Source organism: Homo sapiens, chromosome 4, assembly GCF_000001405.40.
Source record: "Homo sapiens chromosome 4, GRCh38.p14 Primary Assembly".
NCBI classification, from domain to species: domain Eukaryota; kingdom Metazoa; phylum Chordata; class Mammalia; order Primates; family Hominidae; genus Homo; species Homo sapiens.
In genome coordinates, this window is record NC_000004.12 from 65,942,281 (window position 1) to 65,961,241 (window position 18,961).

The following is an 18,961-nucleotide window of genomic DNA, read 5'->3' on the forward strand; positions in this document are numbered from 1 at the left end:
GTACATCATAGACAAGTTGCTTAAGGTAAAAGATAAATAGAAATTCTTAAAAATTTCCAAGAAATAAGATTGAGTGCATGCAATGAAACAACAATACGAATATGACTTTAAAAAGTAAAACCAATTGAGAAGAGGATAACAATTTTAACGTATTAAAAGAGAAAAAGTTTGTCCATCTAAATTTCACATTCTACAAAAATATCCTCCACAAGTTAGATAAAATATAGACAAATTAAACTAAGTAAAAATTGGAATAATTTGTCTCCAGCAGACTCTAGTACATTAAATGCTAAAGGAAGATCTTAACCCAGAGAAAAAATATACTATGTGGAAAGTTACATAATTTTTCAAGGTTTTAAAGCACCAGACATGATAAATTTGTGAGAAAATATGGGAAAACCCACCTAAATTTAATAATCATGTATTTTCTTTAAATGATTACTATGTAAGACAGAAACATGTTAAAGTTTAGCTTATATAATGTATGTAGAATTAAAATTACAAAATTAGATTTTATAATGTATGTAGAAGTAAAATTTCTGACTTCAAGAGTACAGTTTTGCAGCATAAATGAAATTATAATACAGTATTCTTATAATTTACATGAATATTTACACAGTATTACATCTAATTAGACTGTGAAAAAATAATATTGCAGTTAATGCATTCACTAAACAAATAGAAAACAATAAAACAGCCAAAATGAGTTGCCCAACTATACTTTATTAATACAAAAAAGGCAGAAAACGAAAAACAGCAGAAAAATCACCATAAAGCAAAACAAAACAAGACAGTAGTCTTCATCGCAATTGCATTAGTTTTCTTGAATGGCTGGGTGGCTTAAAACAACAGAAATTTATTTTCTCATACTTCTAGACACTAGAAGTCTGAAATCAAGGTTGTGGTTAAGTTGGAACATTCTGGAGACTGATGGAGAATCTCATCCATGCCTTTCCCCTAGTGTCTGGTATTTGCTAGGGATACTTGGCATTCCTTGGCTTCTCTCCAAAATCTGCGTCTATTGTCATGTGGCATTCTCCTGGTTTTTTTTTCTGTGTTCCTGTGGCTATTACTGACTTTCTTATAAGGACAACAGACATTGGAATTAGGGCCTATCCTAATCCAGTAGAACTTCATCTTAACTTACACCTGTAAAGGCTTTGTTTCTAATTAAGGTGAAATTTACAAGTGAGGACTGCAGCATATCTTTTAATGTACAGAATGCAACTAATAACTCTATCTATATTAGTAATTACATTAATTATTGATAAACATACAAATTAAAAGGCAGAGATTTTAATATTGGACAAAAACATCACGACTCAAGTGTATCCTGTCTATAATAGTTGTACACTAAATATTAAAGACTCAAGATGAGAATCAAAGCATGAAATATCATAATTATAAAATATAGTCATATGAAAAATAAAATATCTATAATAATATCAAAAGCAGTAGAGTTCATAACAATCATTATTGTTGGTAAGAAAAAGGAATATTTTGTAAAATGACCAAATGTTAAGACACAGTTAAAAAATACATTTGCGCATAATAATATATCTTCAAAACATAGAACTGAAAAACTAATAGAATTAAAGGAAGAATAAACAATTCCACAGTCAAGGTTAAAATACATGTAATTGAAATAAAAAATACAAAATAAATCAGCAAGACTATAAACTATTTGAACAGCGTTTTATCCATATTTACCTAATTGATACTTATAGAAGATTAAACCTAACAAATTTAGAGCACCTGTTGTCTCAAGTGTGCAAAGAATTTTTACCAGGATATACTATATGCTTGACAATAAAAATAACTCTCAATGATTTAAAAAATTGATATTTCATGTAGCCCAAAATAAAATTTAATTAGAAAGCAATAGTGGTAAGATATTTAAAAATTTCACAAATATTTTAAATTATGCCACAGGTTTCTAAAGAAGCAATACATTTAAAATAATAAAAATAAAATAAAAATAAAAAACGAAATGTTGAAATTTATGGGTTCCACCAAAAATTATGGGTTCAAGAATATGTATTGCAACCTGATCTCATAGCAAGAAATATATCTTTAACTGAAAGATACAGCATTTCCACATGGTTATGATATTGTGAAAAAGTGATGGCCATGAGAATTTCATTCTAGTGAAGAATTAAGTAACCTGTTTTCTGTGATCCACCAGAAACACCGATCACGTGTACAAAAGATGAGAAAATCTGGGTTCATGGTTGTAAGTGAGATAAGAAAAATGGGCTGGATGATTCCTTACCCAGCTTTAAATATAATGGAAAGACAAATTCTGATACTATATTTTCTAGTTCACAGAGCACAAGGGTATTCTGTGAGGCTGTAACAACCATACTGAAGGATGACATTTCAGTGACCTCAGACTGATGGAAACAAGATTGTGAAACACGTTGTCCATGATATTGCAATTCAACACCATCTAAATTTTCAACTGACTTTATTTTCATGGTTATAATTGGAGTGGTTATCACAAAAATTGGAGCTATATCAGTGGAAAGGATGTATATGGGAAGTCTAAGTGGCTCACCATCACTATCACTATCTTATACTGTTTTATTGCATTCACTGTGCTTATTTTCTGAAATTATCAAAGCCTAAGAAGATGGATATTTGGTTTCTTTTTTCTGCTTATTTTCACTATATCCACAGCAGTGCTCTATCTACAGCAGTAGGAGCCATGCCAATCAATACCTGGTAAGAGCTGAATAACAATTGAATAGATAAACATATGAAAGACTAGAAACAAACCAGGTTCTTGCTGTAAAAAGTACAAAACATGTCCCATTGGATTATGTTTCATTGGAAACACTTCTCACTGCTTTTATTTCTTTTCTTCATCAACTTCTTTTTTATTATTTTAACACACTGAATCTTTAAAAAGCTTGTTCATGACTAGGGTCCAAATATTCCATGATCCATGACTGGAGTCCAAGTATTCCATGTCCCTGATGGAGCTAAGCTTAATCAATTCACATTAAAACATCCAAGAATCGCATAGGTAATATTGACAAATGTCAGGAGATATTATATCAATATGTATTTATAGATGATTATCCAGAGGGCACAAAGTATAATTGTAATTCTTGCTGAATTGGTTGCTTAGGGAACACCTCATAATATGTCGATATAATAATATGTTTAAAAATATCTGGGTAGCTGACTTTTGCTCCAGTAGTAGGCTGAGGCAAACTTAGACACAGAATTTACCCATTCAAGCTGACATTTAAAATGTATAGGAAGACATTCAAAGATTGTAGCATGAAGACTTAGGCAAGGTATGTATTTCATGTCCAAATTTTGTCTCTGATATTCCTGTCAGTACTTGAAAGCCTATTCCTTTGTCCAGTGACAGTTGATAAAGAAGGCCCCTTATTGGTTAAAATGGGCAATACCACACTTTCCCAAAAGAGATAAGGACCTCGATAATGGAGGATAAATCAAGGGTGGCCTAGCCCAACTGGCAGCTACTTACGGATTCAGAATTCCTGACAAATAACATTCTGTATAATTTATATTCATTGGCTTTACACTTTTTATCATCTATTTAGATTAGTAACAAAAATCCCTTTGTTTTGTAGTTTATGACCAAAATATAAATGCTAAAATCAGTTAACTTCTTCCACCGATGAAAATGCCCTTGTGTCTTAGAGCCACTATTTCTTCAAAATATTACAATTGATAAGGACATGTTAATGTTTACATCATTTTAAAATAGATAATCAAAAGCTTATCAGAAAACTATATTGGTCATTGTTCAACCAATACTCAATAAAAGAGGTAACTTTCATCTTTATGGTGAAAAGATGTTTGTAGTGTAACTTGGGCTCTGAGACAGATCCTTCTCAAATAAATCTCTTTAATGTCTAAAATTCGATAAGCAAAAATTTATCTCTGAACTTTAAAAATTGTTTTTTTCCCTTATGATCCTTTATTGCAATGCAAATACCTCTAAAATGGTAAAGGCACTACATTTATTACACTTTGGTATACAATGATTTTTAAGTAAAGTGAAGCAAATTAAACTGGGTAGAAATCAACTTAGCAAAAAAAATTACAGGGCTCTCCATCCAAACCTATGTGTTTTATACTTATTGGATTAATTTAATCTTGGATGAAAGGTCTAGAACAACATGAGAAGCCTTAGACACATGAGGAGAGTGTGTCCTGATGAGAACGGAGGGAGAAAGACACATGGGATGATGTTACAGAAAATTTACTCCATTTTTTTTCTCTGTTTTCCCACATTACAGTTTTGCCTGAATTGAAATTTGTCGTTAGACACAATTGAAATCTACAGATATCTTTTTATTTTTTTATTTTTTTAATTTTTGAGATGGGCTCTTGCTCAGTCGCCCAGGCTGGAGTGCAGTGGCGTGATCTCGGCTCACTGCAAGCTCCACCTCCCGGGTTCACGCCATTCTCCTGCTTCAGCCTCCCGAGTAGCTGGGACTACAGGCGTCCGCCACCACACCCGGCTAATTTTTTGTATTTTTTTAGTAGAGACGAGGTTTCACCGTATTAGTCAGGATGATCTCGATCGATCTCCTGACCTCGTGATCCGCCCGCCTCGGCCTCCCAAAGTGCTGGGATTTACAGGCATGAGCCACTGCACCCGGCCATATCTTTTTATTTTTAAAAGTTGAGTGGATAGGAGAGAAGTGAAATGAGAAATGGCAGTATTAAAGATACAATATGCGTTTACAAGGGTGTTGTAAAATTATTTTTTACTGAAAAAATGGCAAAGTTTTTAATTACCAAAAGGACATTAGAAAATCCTCAATTATTGGAGAAAGTTCCACTTGGTGACAGTTCAGCGAGAAAAAGAAATGCGTCAAATATCACATTATTTCATAAGGACCAAACGACTTGAAATAAATTTTTCTTCCAAACGTAGCATTTTTAATTATTTGCATGATCGTCTATTCTTAATGTCAATTAGGAGTCGCAATACATACTCATATCTGATTTAGAGATCAGACTAAATGTTGTTACTTGCTAACAGTAGGCACACTATTGAGATATTAAGTTTTGACACTTAACATGTATTTGATGTGTTATTACAACTCAAAATGAGCCAGTGTTTTACTCTATGCAACTGAGAGGCAATTCTAAATGACCAATTTTATAAATAAAATTTTATTTGAAAATTTTAGAGGAGTTCATAGTCCCATTTAAAATTTAAAATGCTGTCATTACTATAGCTTTTCTGTGACTTGCTAATAAAACAAACAATAATTAAATGTGTAGAAATTATATAACTGTAATGGCTTTTTGCTCTGTTTAATACTTTGATATGATTTTATTTTATGCTGTGTTCCCTGGAAACAGACTGAAAGGAGAAATTTTGTATGGGTTTATTAGAGACTTTTCTCTGGAGACACACTTGTGAAGAAATGGAGTCAATATTTGGAAAAGGGAGAAGCTGACCTGAATGTAGCGGGAACTGAGCCTTCAACTAACCTCAGCCTGGGGATCTTTTTGCCAGCAGTTGATACCATTCCGAAGAGTGACCAAGAGGAGTACGACCAGTGGTAAGGAAAATTGCCAGGGTGTCTCTTGAGGCTCCTAGTTTAAACAGTAAATAGGCATGAAAGAGTGTGGTTTGAAAAAGACTTAGTAACCAGTCGCTCATTAGTCTTGGTCATCCTATCAGTTCCTTGTTGAGCACCAGAAGAATCTGAATGGATGGTGAACAATGGAGAAGAAATAGTATTTGTTTCAGCTTTCAGGCCAACTGCAGCAGAGAAGGCTTTAATTCATTCCAGTAACCTTTCACTTTTAAGTTTCCCCAGGAAGCATGAACAAACAAGATCCTGAGAGAAGCTACAGTTCTGCTATAAGAAGCAAGTCAATCGTGGCAAATCAAATAGGAGACCAGAAGACTTTGGTGGGTTATCTTGTGCTCCACCAAAACCTGAAATGCATACACCTCTCTCCAGGTCAGAATCACTTATGAGCTCCTCTTCCAGCATATAATCCTTTGGTTGGAGACTGTAACAAAGAACAGTTTGCTGCAGTAATAGAAAAATAATGCTAGTCTATTGACAAGATAGGAGAATCTTATTTCTTGGTTTAGCTTGTAAATTTGCAGTTCTCCTTTTTTTTTTTCTTTTCTTTTTTTTTTTCTTTTTTTAATAGACATAGTTCTTGCTCTGTCACCCAGCCTGGAGTGCAGTGGCATGATCTTGGCTCACTGCAACCTTCACTTCCTGGGTTTAAGCAGTTCTCTGTCTCAGCCTCCTGAGTAGCTGGGGTTACAGGCACGGTGCCACTACACCCGGCAAATTTTTTTTTATTTATTTTTATTTTTATTGTTTTATTTTTAGGAGAGACGGGGTTTCACCATTTTTGTGAGGCTGGTCTTGAACTCCTGACCTCGTGATCCACTTGCCTCAGCCTCCCAAAGTGCTGGGACTACAGGCATGAGCCACCGTGCCCGACCTCTCCTTCTTATTTTATAAATATCAAACTCCTTTTTATTGATGTGATAGAAGTTGAGATGTTTTATTTTTGTTTCACACCTGGTAAAAATGAAAAGTTGCCATGCATGTTTTGCAAAGAAGCACATATACCAAATACTGAACCAGTAACCAAATTCCCTAGGTATACAGGAATTATAAGAAGAAACCAGTAAGTTTTGAATTTCATCCCTCCAGGTATTTTGAGTAGATACAAGCTCTCATTCACTGCTTGTTATATGGCAATTTCTATACTGGCACTTTAAGTGTGTTACTGTGAAATAGTCTCGTAACAAACCGATGAAATAGGTACTGAAAATTTGTGTCTTCTGAAATTTTAATAGGTAAGGAGTGTTAGATGTCATTCAGATAATTGTTACAGTCTCTGTACCAATCTCCTTTACATCCAATTGTACTTCCTGGCATCATTGTTTATCAATCATTGCATTGAAAGTTTTAGTATGTTCTCTATTATAATAATCCCACCTATTAATATGTTATTTCATGGGAAAATAAAAATGAATACTTTCAATTAAGGAAATGAAACAGTTTAAGTATAAAATAATTATATAACATTCTGGTACGTAGAAAATAAAAAAGCTAGTAGAGATTTGTGTGTTTATTTGATTCAACCCTCTTTTATAAGAAGTGAGGACACTGGATGTAGGAAAATGAAATGACAAGGGCATACTAAAATTTGCAGAACTTAGGCAAGAATCTAGATTTTTGCTTCGTAACCCAGTGTCCCTGCCTCCAAATATTCCCAAGAAAGAGAGTCTATTCAAAATAATGGAAAATTACTATAATAGTAAAGTGTTAAAAGGGAAAAAAATCAAGTTAAAATTCAGTAAAATTGTATTATTTTCCTATCTACACATTTCTTATATTATAACTTCAATGAATGTATTTTTATTGGCTTTCTTTTTTCTTTTTCTGTATATTTATAATATCAATTGACACATTCTCATAATAGAAAGATTACATGTAGAACTCATTCCTTATATATTACATTTGACTGCTTTATATTGGACAATATTAGAAATAACAATAATTTTAATCTCTTAGAAATTATCAGCCTTTATAGTTACAGTGATAACATAGCTATTGCCTTTCTCATAATTTAACATTAAATGACTGTTCTCATAGAAACCTAAACAAGTTAAATCAAAATGCAAAGAAAGGTGTTGGTTTTTTAAATGTAGTCATGCATCGTGTAGTGATGTTTTGTTCAACAAAGCATATACAAAGCCAGTCTCATAAGCTTGCAATGGAGCTAAAAAATTCCTATTACTTAGTAATGTCCTGACGAGACTAACACTGTATAGATAGGCCTAGGTGAATGTGTATGCACAAATATATGTGTCTTAGTTTTTAACAAAAAAAAATCTTAAAATATGAAAATCATAAAATAAGAAAAAGCTTATAAAATAAGAATATAAAGAAAAATATATTTTGTACACCTCTGCAATGTGTGTTTTACGCTGTGTTATTACAAAATAGTAAATAAGTTAAAAAGTTAAAAGTTTTTAAAAGGAAACAAATTATATAAGCTAAGGTTGAGGAAAGAAATAATTTTTATAAATTTAATATAGCCTGTTTACTGTGTTTATAAAGTTTACAGCAGTGTGCAGTAATGTCTTAGGCCTTTATATTCACTCAGTACTACTCACTGACTCATCCAGAGCAACTTCCAATCTTGCAAGATATACTCATGAGAAGTGCCCTATATAGGTATACCATTTTTAATCCTTTATACGATATTTTTACTCTACCTTTTCTATGTTTAGATACGCAAATATCATCATGTTACACTTGCCAACAATATTTGTGCTGTATAGGTTTGTAATCTAGGAGCAATAGGCTATGTCATATAGCCTAAGTATATTAGGCTATACTCTCTGTGTAAGTACACTCTATGATGTTCACACAATAAACACATTTCTCAGAACCTACCACCATGTTAAGTGACACATGACTATATGTTAAATTGCAAAACACACATAAAATAACAAACACTTCATATTTCTTCTCAACCTCCATTTTCAATCCCCAATATCAAGTGAAACTTTCATTGCCGTATTTCTCTTTTATTATCTTGAGGGTGACTCTTCCCTACTAAATCCTTTGTCTTGGAAACATATTTTGTGATTTCTGAAAATTTGCATTGGTTTCTGAAAGGTGAGTTGCTGTAAGCAGCAATTCTAACATTCATCCCTTTTTTCTCTGTGCATCCGAATCTTTCTGTAGAGCAGACTGTCTTGCAATGTACAAGGTTTACTAAGTTGCCCACTTTGGTACTGCATTATTCCAGTGCTGTGATTTTCTTTCTGGGTTTTAATAATAGACAGCTGGCTAATAATTTGTCAAGATATGGATCAATAACCTAATTTTGAATTCAAGGCTAAAATACAGTTTGTTTTTACTTATTAAAAAATACACTCATTAAATTAAATTAAATTAAATATGTCCTAAAGCTGTCTCCATACCTTGAGTTTATCTGCAGCAAACTGCAGCCGACTTAAGAGTACATTCTCCTAGCAAGTAGCTGAGTCTCAGACATACACAGCAGCCAAGCTTTAGCCAATCACAGACTGCCAACTGATCAGACCATGCCCAAAGAAGGCAAATGCTCACCTGTCAATCAAGCTGTTTCTGCATGTCATTTCATTTTTCTGTCTATAAATACTATGTGCTCACTTTGCTGCACTGAGCTCTCAGACCTCTCTGGGTTCTGAGTGATGCTTAATTCATGAATCATTCTTTGCTCAGGTAAACTCTATTAAATTTAATTTATCAGAAGTTTTTCTTTTAACATACGCATTACAAAAGTGTTGCTTGGTTGAATCTTTGCTCAGCTAGCTAAGAAATTCCTAGCTAGTTGTATTGTCAAAGAAGAATGTTCACCTTACTCAGGATTCCAGAATCCTAAATCATTAAGGCATTTGTTACTAAAAAGACTAAACTGGTGAAAATAGCAATTCAGTACCTTATTGTTTATCAATTAGCAAAGGTGTCATATGTCAGTCACACACACACAAAGAGAGAGAAAGAGGGAGATAAATTGAGAAAAATATTTGTGCCACTGTACAATAAAAGTGAAGAACTTTCAAATTTCCCCAACTAACATTTGAATTGTGTATCATTGTCCAGCATTCTACAGAGAGAGAGAACCAACAGAATAGATAAGATATATAAGAGGGAATTTATTAGGGGAATTAGCTCATGCAATTATGGAGGCTGAGAAGTCCCACAATAGACCGTATGCAAGCTTCAGACCCTGGGATGCCAGTAGCATGGCTCTGTCCAAGTCCAAAAGCCTCAGAACCAGGGAAGTCAATGGTGTAATTCTCAGTCCAAGGCCAAAGGCCTGAAAACCCTGGGGACCACTGGTGTTAAGTCCTGGAGTCTAAAGGCTAGAAAGCCTGGATTTCTGATGTCCAAGGGAAGGAAAAGAAGAGTGTCTCAACCCCAAGAGAAAGAAAATCACCTTTTCTCTGCCTTTTTCTATTCAGGCCCCTGGCTAATTGGATGGGATCTTTTCACATTGAAGGTGAATCTTCCCCACTAAGTCCCCTGACTCCCATGCCAATCTCCTTTGGAAACACCCTCACAGACACACCCAGAAGTCATGCTGCTTTACCCGTTCCCTGGGTTTTCTTTCAGCCAGTCAAGTTGACACCTAAAATTAACCATCACGGTCACTTTGTGAGATATGCTGTTGAAAGCAATAATAAAATGTGTAGATACCACAAAGGTAACTGTTCTGCGTATGTCTTTGCAGAAAGCATATTTTTCTCCAGAGGTTTTTGCAAATAAAAATTTTCACTTTGCCAGCAAAGTAACAGCTTCAATCAATTTCTCTTTTAGCTTATGTAGGAGATACTGATTAAAATAAAGATGATAAAATAAAGATGATTCACAGATGGAACATGAAGCATGCTGCTCCCTTGGATATTAAAGGACAAACAAACAAGGTCTCTTCAGACTTCAATTTTCTGTCAGAATGATCAGAGAACAGTAACTGAATGGCATCCATTAGGGAGAATTCAAGGCCAATACGGCAATAGGTTTTGGTAACTGCCTGAAAGTATCTCATGGGAGCTATAAGACTCTGACAAAACAAGGCTCTCTTCCTGTCATGTCAGGCGTCTAAATGATGCCCTTTATTTAGGACTGACATTTGGGTGATTAACTGTATTTTGCACTTTTGTACTTGTTCTTTTGTCATATTCTCATTCTTAGTCAAAGAGTGGTACTACCTTGCCTCTTTGATGTGATGTGCAGCAATTTGAACATCTGTTTCAGACTTTCTTGACTACACCTGATTCGGGTTGATCCAATATTCTAGAAATTTTATCCAATTTCTGACTTTCAGTGTTGATCAATTGCCAAGTCTTATTGCCACTACATTCTAAAACTTTTCAAATCCGTCTCTCTGTCTTTCTACCTCTCATTCCCATGGAATGATTTTAGTCAATAATCACATGTGACCTGAATTGCCTCAGGGTGCTTCCCCTGTACAATATTTCCACATTACAGAGAGTTGTCACTCAGAATTTCCACTTTGGTTGCGTGACCCCAATACTTGAAAAGCTTCGATGACTTTGCATTATTTTTAACTTATAGACTTAATTCATTCAAATAATGTAAAATTTGTCCATTTATTGGCTCATGCTTGCATCTCCAATTTTATGTTTTATTAATCTCCCTGCTTTACCTGTTGCCCTATTTACTGATATGCAATTCCTCAAACATAACACAACCTCTGTCATCATCCTTCATTTACCTATGGCAGTACCTCTAATTTCAATTTCTTTCTGCTGGGATAACTCTCTTCACTTCAGTTTTATTTTTATATATTATTTTCTTAGGGATGTTGTTGCTTATTTCCCTAATGCTAGATGGGGTGGCTCTGATCTGGCTACCCAAGCCTGTGTTTATCCCTATAGTGGCACTTATCAAATTGTGTTGTAATTACTTGCTTTCTTGCCTCATCTTCTATACAACAAGTGTCACAACAGGAACCTACTATTGTTACCTGTTGCATACTAAATCCTTGAATAGTTAGTGGATACATAATATTTATTGAATAAGTAGGTGAATAAAGTTAATATGCTATCACAAACATCTGCATTGAGATGATATTTTCCAATAAGTGATTTTTTTCTATTATTTGACATTTGTAAGTGTAAAAGAGTTTAGATACAATCTTGAGAAGATTGGGGAATAAGGGACCTCTCATTAACTAGAATAGTCAGAAAAAGAGCTTTTGCAATCCTAAAATAAGCTGCAATCTTGAAAATGTACTAAACCGTAGAGAAAATTTAAGTTTCTGGCACACACAAAGGAAAGGCAAAAGTGAATGACAATAAATGTACAACCTGATCTATTTGGTTCATTTCTGACAGAATTCAGAAATGAGTACTGATGAAACCTCAGATTATTTCATAAGGCAACTCTGTAAATATGTGAAATCAATTCATATATGATGTATGTGAGACATGTTAATTGTCAAGTGCTTGAATAATGTAAAAATGCTTTTTTTTTTTTAAACCACCATCCCTAGATAGTGAGAATCTCCTTTTACTAAGAAGTTGTGAGAGAATGGGAAACTGGTCAGATATGTTTTTAGGGCCTCTCCAGGAAGGCAGTTATGGAATCCTTTTGTAAACTATATACCTGGAATCAACTATTTAACTATTTCAGGTGAAATTATAGCAGTCACTCCTGAAATCTATTCCTATACATTTAGATCAACCTGTCTAGGGATTACCAGGTTTTCACTGAAGGAAAAGGAAATGTGATAAGAGAAAGATGAATCATTCCTATGATTTAAGTAGTTGCGTAAATATTACAAACTTGTGACACAGTGGAAATAAAGCTGAGCTTGAATAGGGGAGACTTATATTGGAGAGGCACAATTTCTTCTACAGGATTTGCTATTTAGCTATTGCTCTTTAGAATTACAAAAACATAAATAAAATGGTGGATATGAACATTTTGATCACTAAATTAAAAAAAGAAGCAAATTAGCAGAATGGGCAGCAGGATAGAGAATGCTTAAGGGCAACTTAGTAGTGAGCCAATGAGGTCCAAAAAGCCAGTTCTCTGTTTGAAATTCCAGAAGATAACAGAAAGCATGTGGGGTGGGAAATTACCTCCAAAATAATGATGAAAACTTTCTCCAATAGCAATTAGACATGATTGTTCAGAACTGAACCACGTGACCTATATTAAGCCTCTACCCGTCATCAGGTACCAAGGTTTGTTCTAGATCACAGATTTAAAACACAACAAAACAAAACAAAACAAAAAGTAACATCCCTGTCATTTTGGAATTTAACATAGTGGAAAAGGAGTCTAAAATAAAAATTCATAAGCATGCAATAAATTAGGTAATAATAACTATGAAGAAAACATGGTACAGTAAGATTAATAATGAAAATGGGAACTGTGAACTTGATAGTCCAAGGGGAAAGGTTTCAGGTAAACATGTGCAAAGCTCTAAAAGGAGGTTACTAGCAATGAGGTTGCTCCAACTCTGTTGGAGCTGAGTGACAGGGAGTATGACTGAAAATGGGGTTGGATTTGTAGCAGGTGGACATTCATAAGGGGTATTGTAGGCTGTGAAGATTATTTCAGGTGTTATGGAAGCCATTGCAGGGTTTCAAGTAGGAGAGAACATTGAAACAATAGATGTGCATCTGGGAGTCAGCAATGTAGAAAACAGTAACATTAATAAATTAACTAATTAAAATATTTTATTACCACTAAATTTTTCCTTTTCTTTGGATCCATGTAACTTACATTATTTTGAAATATTTTTCCTAATGTCCAAAAATACTTTATCATAGAACATGTTCTATATAAGGTAATTTTATTTTATTTTAAAATATGGTATCTATGCTTGAAAATGTAAATTCTATAGTTATTGAGTATAGGGTTCTGTAACATGGGAATTATGTCCTGTTAATTATTTATTGGAATTCTATTAAAATGAAATTTTTTCTGTTTCTTCTAGTAATTCCTGAAAAAAGTTAACTTTTGCCATGAGTGTACAAAATTTGTCAGTATTTATTTTTGGGGGTGGTATTGTTAGAGTTATTGAAAGATTTATCTTTTGAAATTACACTTTTAAACTTTTTATGATCTATGTTTTTAAATGCACATAAGTAATTGTATTTATACTACCTTTCATTACTTTTAATTTTCTAAATTCTCATGATGTATGTAAGATTTTTGTATACATATGTAGTGTGAATATTTTTAATACAATATGACAATTTTTATTCTATTACTAGAACATTTAGACCACTCATATTTAGGAAAACAACACATTCCTTTTTAAATCTATAAATTTAATTTGTGATGTTTTGTGTGCTATCTGTAATTTTAATATTGGCTATCATTGCCTTGTTTTATAATTACAGAATTTTTGAACTATTCTCTTTATGACCTTTATATTCTTCAGAAGGTATGCACATCCTTTCAGTTTCTTTTTCTTATATTGATTTCCTTTTAACTTTCAAAATTCATCTTTGAATTCCTAAGTCTAATGCTACTTGTCTCTTTTACTTTTCTCATGGGTGGTGATATAAAGTTAGAAAAGTTTATTACCCTTTATGTCCTTTTGATTTATGCATCATTGTTTTTACAGGCTGTATATTAATTATAAAATTATAGATTTTAATTACTACTGATTAAAATGAATTCATATTATAACTTATTTAGAACATTGTTACATCTAAATGTTATATAGATATTATGTAAAATAATAAATAAATAAATATAAAAAATAAACATTATGCCCAATATTATTGTTTTATACAATCAATTAGTGGAATCACCCACATATTTAATATGTGCTCTTAATCCTCTTAATCCTTACTGCGTATGTAAAGATCATTTTGTTTCCCCTATTTCCTTGAAAAATATTTTTGCTAGTTAGAAACTTCTAGGTTGGCAGTTATATTATTTTGACACATTGGCTATGTCATTTCACCATTATCTTTCTTCCTATATTTGTGTTGAAAACCTAGCTGTACATGTAATAGAGAATCTTTGTAATTATTTATTTTTTTAAGATTTTTCTCTTGCCTGTCCAATTCTGAAGTTTCACTTTAACATGTCAGCTTTTGATATTTTTAAGAAATTTTAGATTAAAATTGAAATTAAATTCTGGGCAGTAGCTTCCGGCATAATTTCTAGTTTACTAGTCCACTTTTCATCTTCTTATAAAACCATCCACTGAGAAAATGTAACATTCTGGTTTTTAGCTTGAGAATTTCAATGTTTAAAATTTTATTTATTATTTAATTGGCATATAACAATTGTACATATATATGAAGCACACTGTGAAGTTTTGATACATACAACATTATAGTGATCAGATCAGGGTAATTAGTATATCCATTATCTCAAACGTTTAAGATTTCTTTGTGTTTGGAACATTCAACATCCTATCTTCTAGCTTTTTGAAAATATATAACATATTATTTTTGACTATATTCATCCTACACTGCTATAGAACACTAGAATTTATTTTACCTTCCTAGCTTCCATGTTTTATTCCTTAATAAATCTCTCCCTATGCTCCCTTCCCCTGACCCTTCCCAACCTCTGGTAACCTCTGTCTACTATAATTCTATGAAATCAGATTTTTTAGCTTCCACATATGAATGAGAATATGTTGTGTATGCTGTGTTTAACTTTCTGTTCATGGTTTATTTCACTTAACATAAATTCCTCCAGCCTTATCCATGTTGCTGAAAATAACAGGATTTCATTCTTTTTATGGCTAAATAGTACTCCATTGTGTATATGTACCTCATTTTCTTTATTATTTTATTTGTTGTTGGACACTTGGGTTAACTTAGTATTGAAGCAATTGTGCATACTGCTGACAGATACCAAAACCAGACAAGGACACAACGACCATAAATAGAGCTGCAGAATAATATCCCTGATGAACATAGATTCTAACATTCTTAATAAAATACTGGCTAACAAAATCCAACAGCACATCAAAAAGACCATACACCATGATCAAGTGGAATTTCTCTCAAGTATGCAAGACATTTCAACATATTCAAATCAAAACATGATACATCACATCAACAGAATAAAGAACAAAAAGCATGATAATCTCAAAAGATACAGAAATGGTATTTGATAATATTCAACACTTCTTCATGATAAAGACTCTCAATAAATTAGGTATAAAAGGAAAGTAGCTCAACACAATAAAAGTTATATATGACAAATCCACAGCTAACATCATATTACATGGGGAAAAGCTTTGGTTTTCCTCTGGGAACTGGAATATAAGGAAGCCCACTCTTACCACTTCTGTTCAACGTAGCATTGAAGTCGTGGTCAGAGTATTTAGGCAAGAAAAAGAAATAAGGGCATCCAAACTGAATAACAGACAAATCGTCCTTGTTTTCAGATCATGTTGCCTTATATATAGAAAAACCTAAAGACACTGCTAAGAAATCTCTTAGAACTGATAAACGAATTCACTAAAGTTGCTGGATAGAAAATCAACATAAAACATTCAGTAGCATTTCTATACAAGAACAATGAACTAGCTGAAAAAGAACTCAAGAAAGGAATCCCATTTACAATTGCTGCGAAAAATAAAAATACCTAGGAATAAATTTAACCAGTGGGGTGACAGTGTGTTCTACAAGGAAAACTATAAAACGCTGATGAAAGAAATTGAGTAAGACACATAGAAAATGGAACACAATCCCAAGTTTATGGACTGGAAATATTAATATTGTTAAAATGACCATACTACCCAAAACGATCTACAGACTCAACACAATCCCTCTTAAAATACAAATACCATTTTTCACATAAATAGAAGAACAATTCTAAAATTCATATGGAACCACAAAAGATGCTGAATAGCCAAAGGTATCCTGAGCAAAAAGAACAAAACTAGAAGCATTATATTACCTGACTTCTAATTATACTACAGAGCTATAGTAGCCAAAACAGCATGGTACTGGCCTTAAAACAGACCCATAGACAAATGGAACAGAATAGATAACCCATAAATTATTTTATGCATCTACAGCCAACTGATTTTTAACAAAGGCATCAAGAACATCTATTGGGGAAAAGAACAGTCTCTTCAATTAATGGTGCCAAGAAAACTGGATATCCGTATGAAGAACAAAACTAGGCTCCCATCTCTCACTCTATACAAAACCCAAAGTTAAGAGTTAAATCCAGAAACAATTTATTTAAATATCTGTAATCCTAAGTTTTTATTTAAATATTTGATTCTTTTTTCTGCTAGTTCTGCTCATATCATATTTTGCCTATGTTTTTGTTATGTGTACTTTCTTCTAGAAGTTGTACTTGAAATAATATTTATAGAAATAATTGGGAAACCAATATGTTGTCTTCCTCCAAAGAATCTTTCTATGTGTGTTTTTATTCTTGGGCAAGACAGTTCAGGTATAGGAGACAGGATCCAAAATCTGCCCTGGCTTAAAACTCCTATGCTACTCAGGAACAAATATTAATAATAATGTCATATACATATGCAGGACACCTGTAAGTCATGTCAGTTTCAAGAGTCACTGGATTTAGGGAAACCCAAGATTCAGAGTTCCTCTTACAATCCAGAAACAATTTATAAATAATGGACCATTTTTTATATAAATAATCTTGCTTGATAATATAATTGACATTTTATGTATCTCAGGTGTTTTGGGGAACAATGCAAGAAAGTTGACCAAATGTTGAATACTCTTTCATCAGAAGCAAAATTTTGTTACTTCCTCCAGGGCTACTAGCTCACCTTGTTTAGATCTTAAAAGCCCATAAGCAGTAGAAGTGTATCTTATCCAGAGCTTTCAGAATTCCATTTGCTCATTTTATTCAAACATATTTTTGAGCACCTGCTATTTGCCAGGACCTGTTCTAGGTTAGCGGAATAGTCAAGGATTAAAATGTCAGATTCTTTAGGAACAAAAAATAGAAGAATGTTGAGAGATAAATAAGGTGAGATGTCTAGAATAGATAATTTGTACTTGCTAATTAAACACAAAGGTCTTATGTCGATTTTCAGCAGAAAGATGTAAAACTGGAGTTTATGGAAATTAATAAAAGAAGGAAATAGTATGTCCTATGAGCAGAAAAGAGAATGATCTCGCTGATTACGAGGTGCTAATGGGGGATTTCTTATATTTTGATCCCTACTGTAAGAATTAGGGCAGGTCAATCCTGACTGAAGAGCTGCAAACCGGATGACAGACACACAAGCACCATTCATACAAGGCTAGATGTAAGCAATCTTCCTCAGCTAACAACTTATACATAAATGGACTTGAATAGTAAATTCATTACACTCCAGGCAAAAAATACAATTTCTCCCTCAAAGAAGTACAATTCAAGATTCTAAAGTTCCAAATTATTTGATTAAGGAAAATAATAAATACATATATATATACATATATATGAAAAATTGCTCCTAAGTAATAATGGACTCTCAAAGAAAATTAAAGTAAAACATAATTTTCATTTTCTGCAAAATCCACTGTCATTAAATATGTAGAAGGAATCTATAAGCATGTGATTTCTTTCTAAGGAAGTCAATGGAATTCTGCAAAGGAAATGCTTACATATCAATAAGACTACATATTGTATATTTTTGCAGTTTTCACAGATTTCTATAAAAGGAACAAGCACTGCTGAACTATTAGAAAAACTAAGAAAGTTGGTATAATTGAGACAGGAGGTCTTTATATTCTAAAGATACAGAGCAAATCAATGTTATACACAGAAACTGACTTCTGTTGTAGTTACAACTTGAATGACAGTTCAGAACATGAAATGGGTGTTAAAAGATTTGACCTTCATTCTATAGGCCACGGACAACCACAAGATGTTTCAAGCTATTGAATAAACAAACGCATTTTTGAAAGATCACTCTGTCAGCAGTGTGAAAGAAGAGGAGGGGACAAGACTAAAGAATAGGACACCAATTCTGTATGTTTAGCAATCCGTTGGGAAATGTGGAGTGAGGTTTTGAGCTAAGATGCAAACTATCTAGACAAAATTGCTTGTGAGGTAATAAGATGATTTTTTATAAAGGAAAATCAATTAGAGTTTCATGCAGGACTCAGTCATCCATTGGATCTGGCAAGGGAGTAAGTTTGGCACCCAAAAGTGGAAAATAAAAAGATGATTTTTGGATTGCTTCAATAGTGAGATTTGGCAGTGTAGGTGCAGAATAAGTGCAATGGGACTAGAATGAAGTGACTGAAATGGAATAGCTGAAGAACAGTACCATTAGGGATTTAACAAAATTGTTAAAAATGAAAATAAAACCCAAGAGTGGTAGGAGATTTGGGCTCAAGGAAAGGTCATATAACTGAAGGTCTCCAAGATGTTGAAAAAAAAGATGTTCACTAAATAAGAGAATGAAATATTTAGAAAGATGGAAAAAAAGATGA

At 33.1% G+C, this 18,961-nt stretch overlaps 1 long non-coding RNA gene across 1 annotated transcript, besides 1 other annotated feature; it reads left to right on the forward strand.

The window, feature by feature from the left end:
- Positions 730–1,305: an enhancer, noted in NCBI's record as "OCT4-NANOG hESC enhancer chr4:66808728-66809303 (GRCh37/hg19 assembly coordinates)". NCBI's record gives its function as "activates a minimal SCP1, AML or CMV promoter by ChIP-STARR-seq in naive H9 embryonic stem cells {active_cell/tissue: H9 hESC(naive)}" and the evidence as "EXISTENCE:reporter gene assay evidence [ECO:0000049][PMID:30033119]".
- Positions 2,659–5,981, forward strand: LOC105377260 (uncharacterized). Its single transcript, XR_938841.1, has 3 exons — positions 2,659–2,724; positions 5,359–5,561; positions 5,814–5,981. It is a non-coding gene; the product is annotated as an uncharacterized LOC105377260 (long non-coding RNA).
- Positions 5,982–18,961: the final 12,980 nt, after the last annotated feature.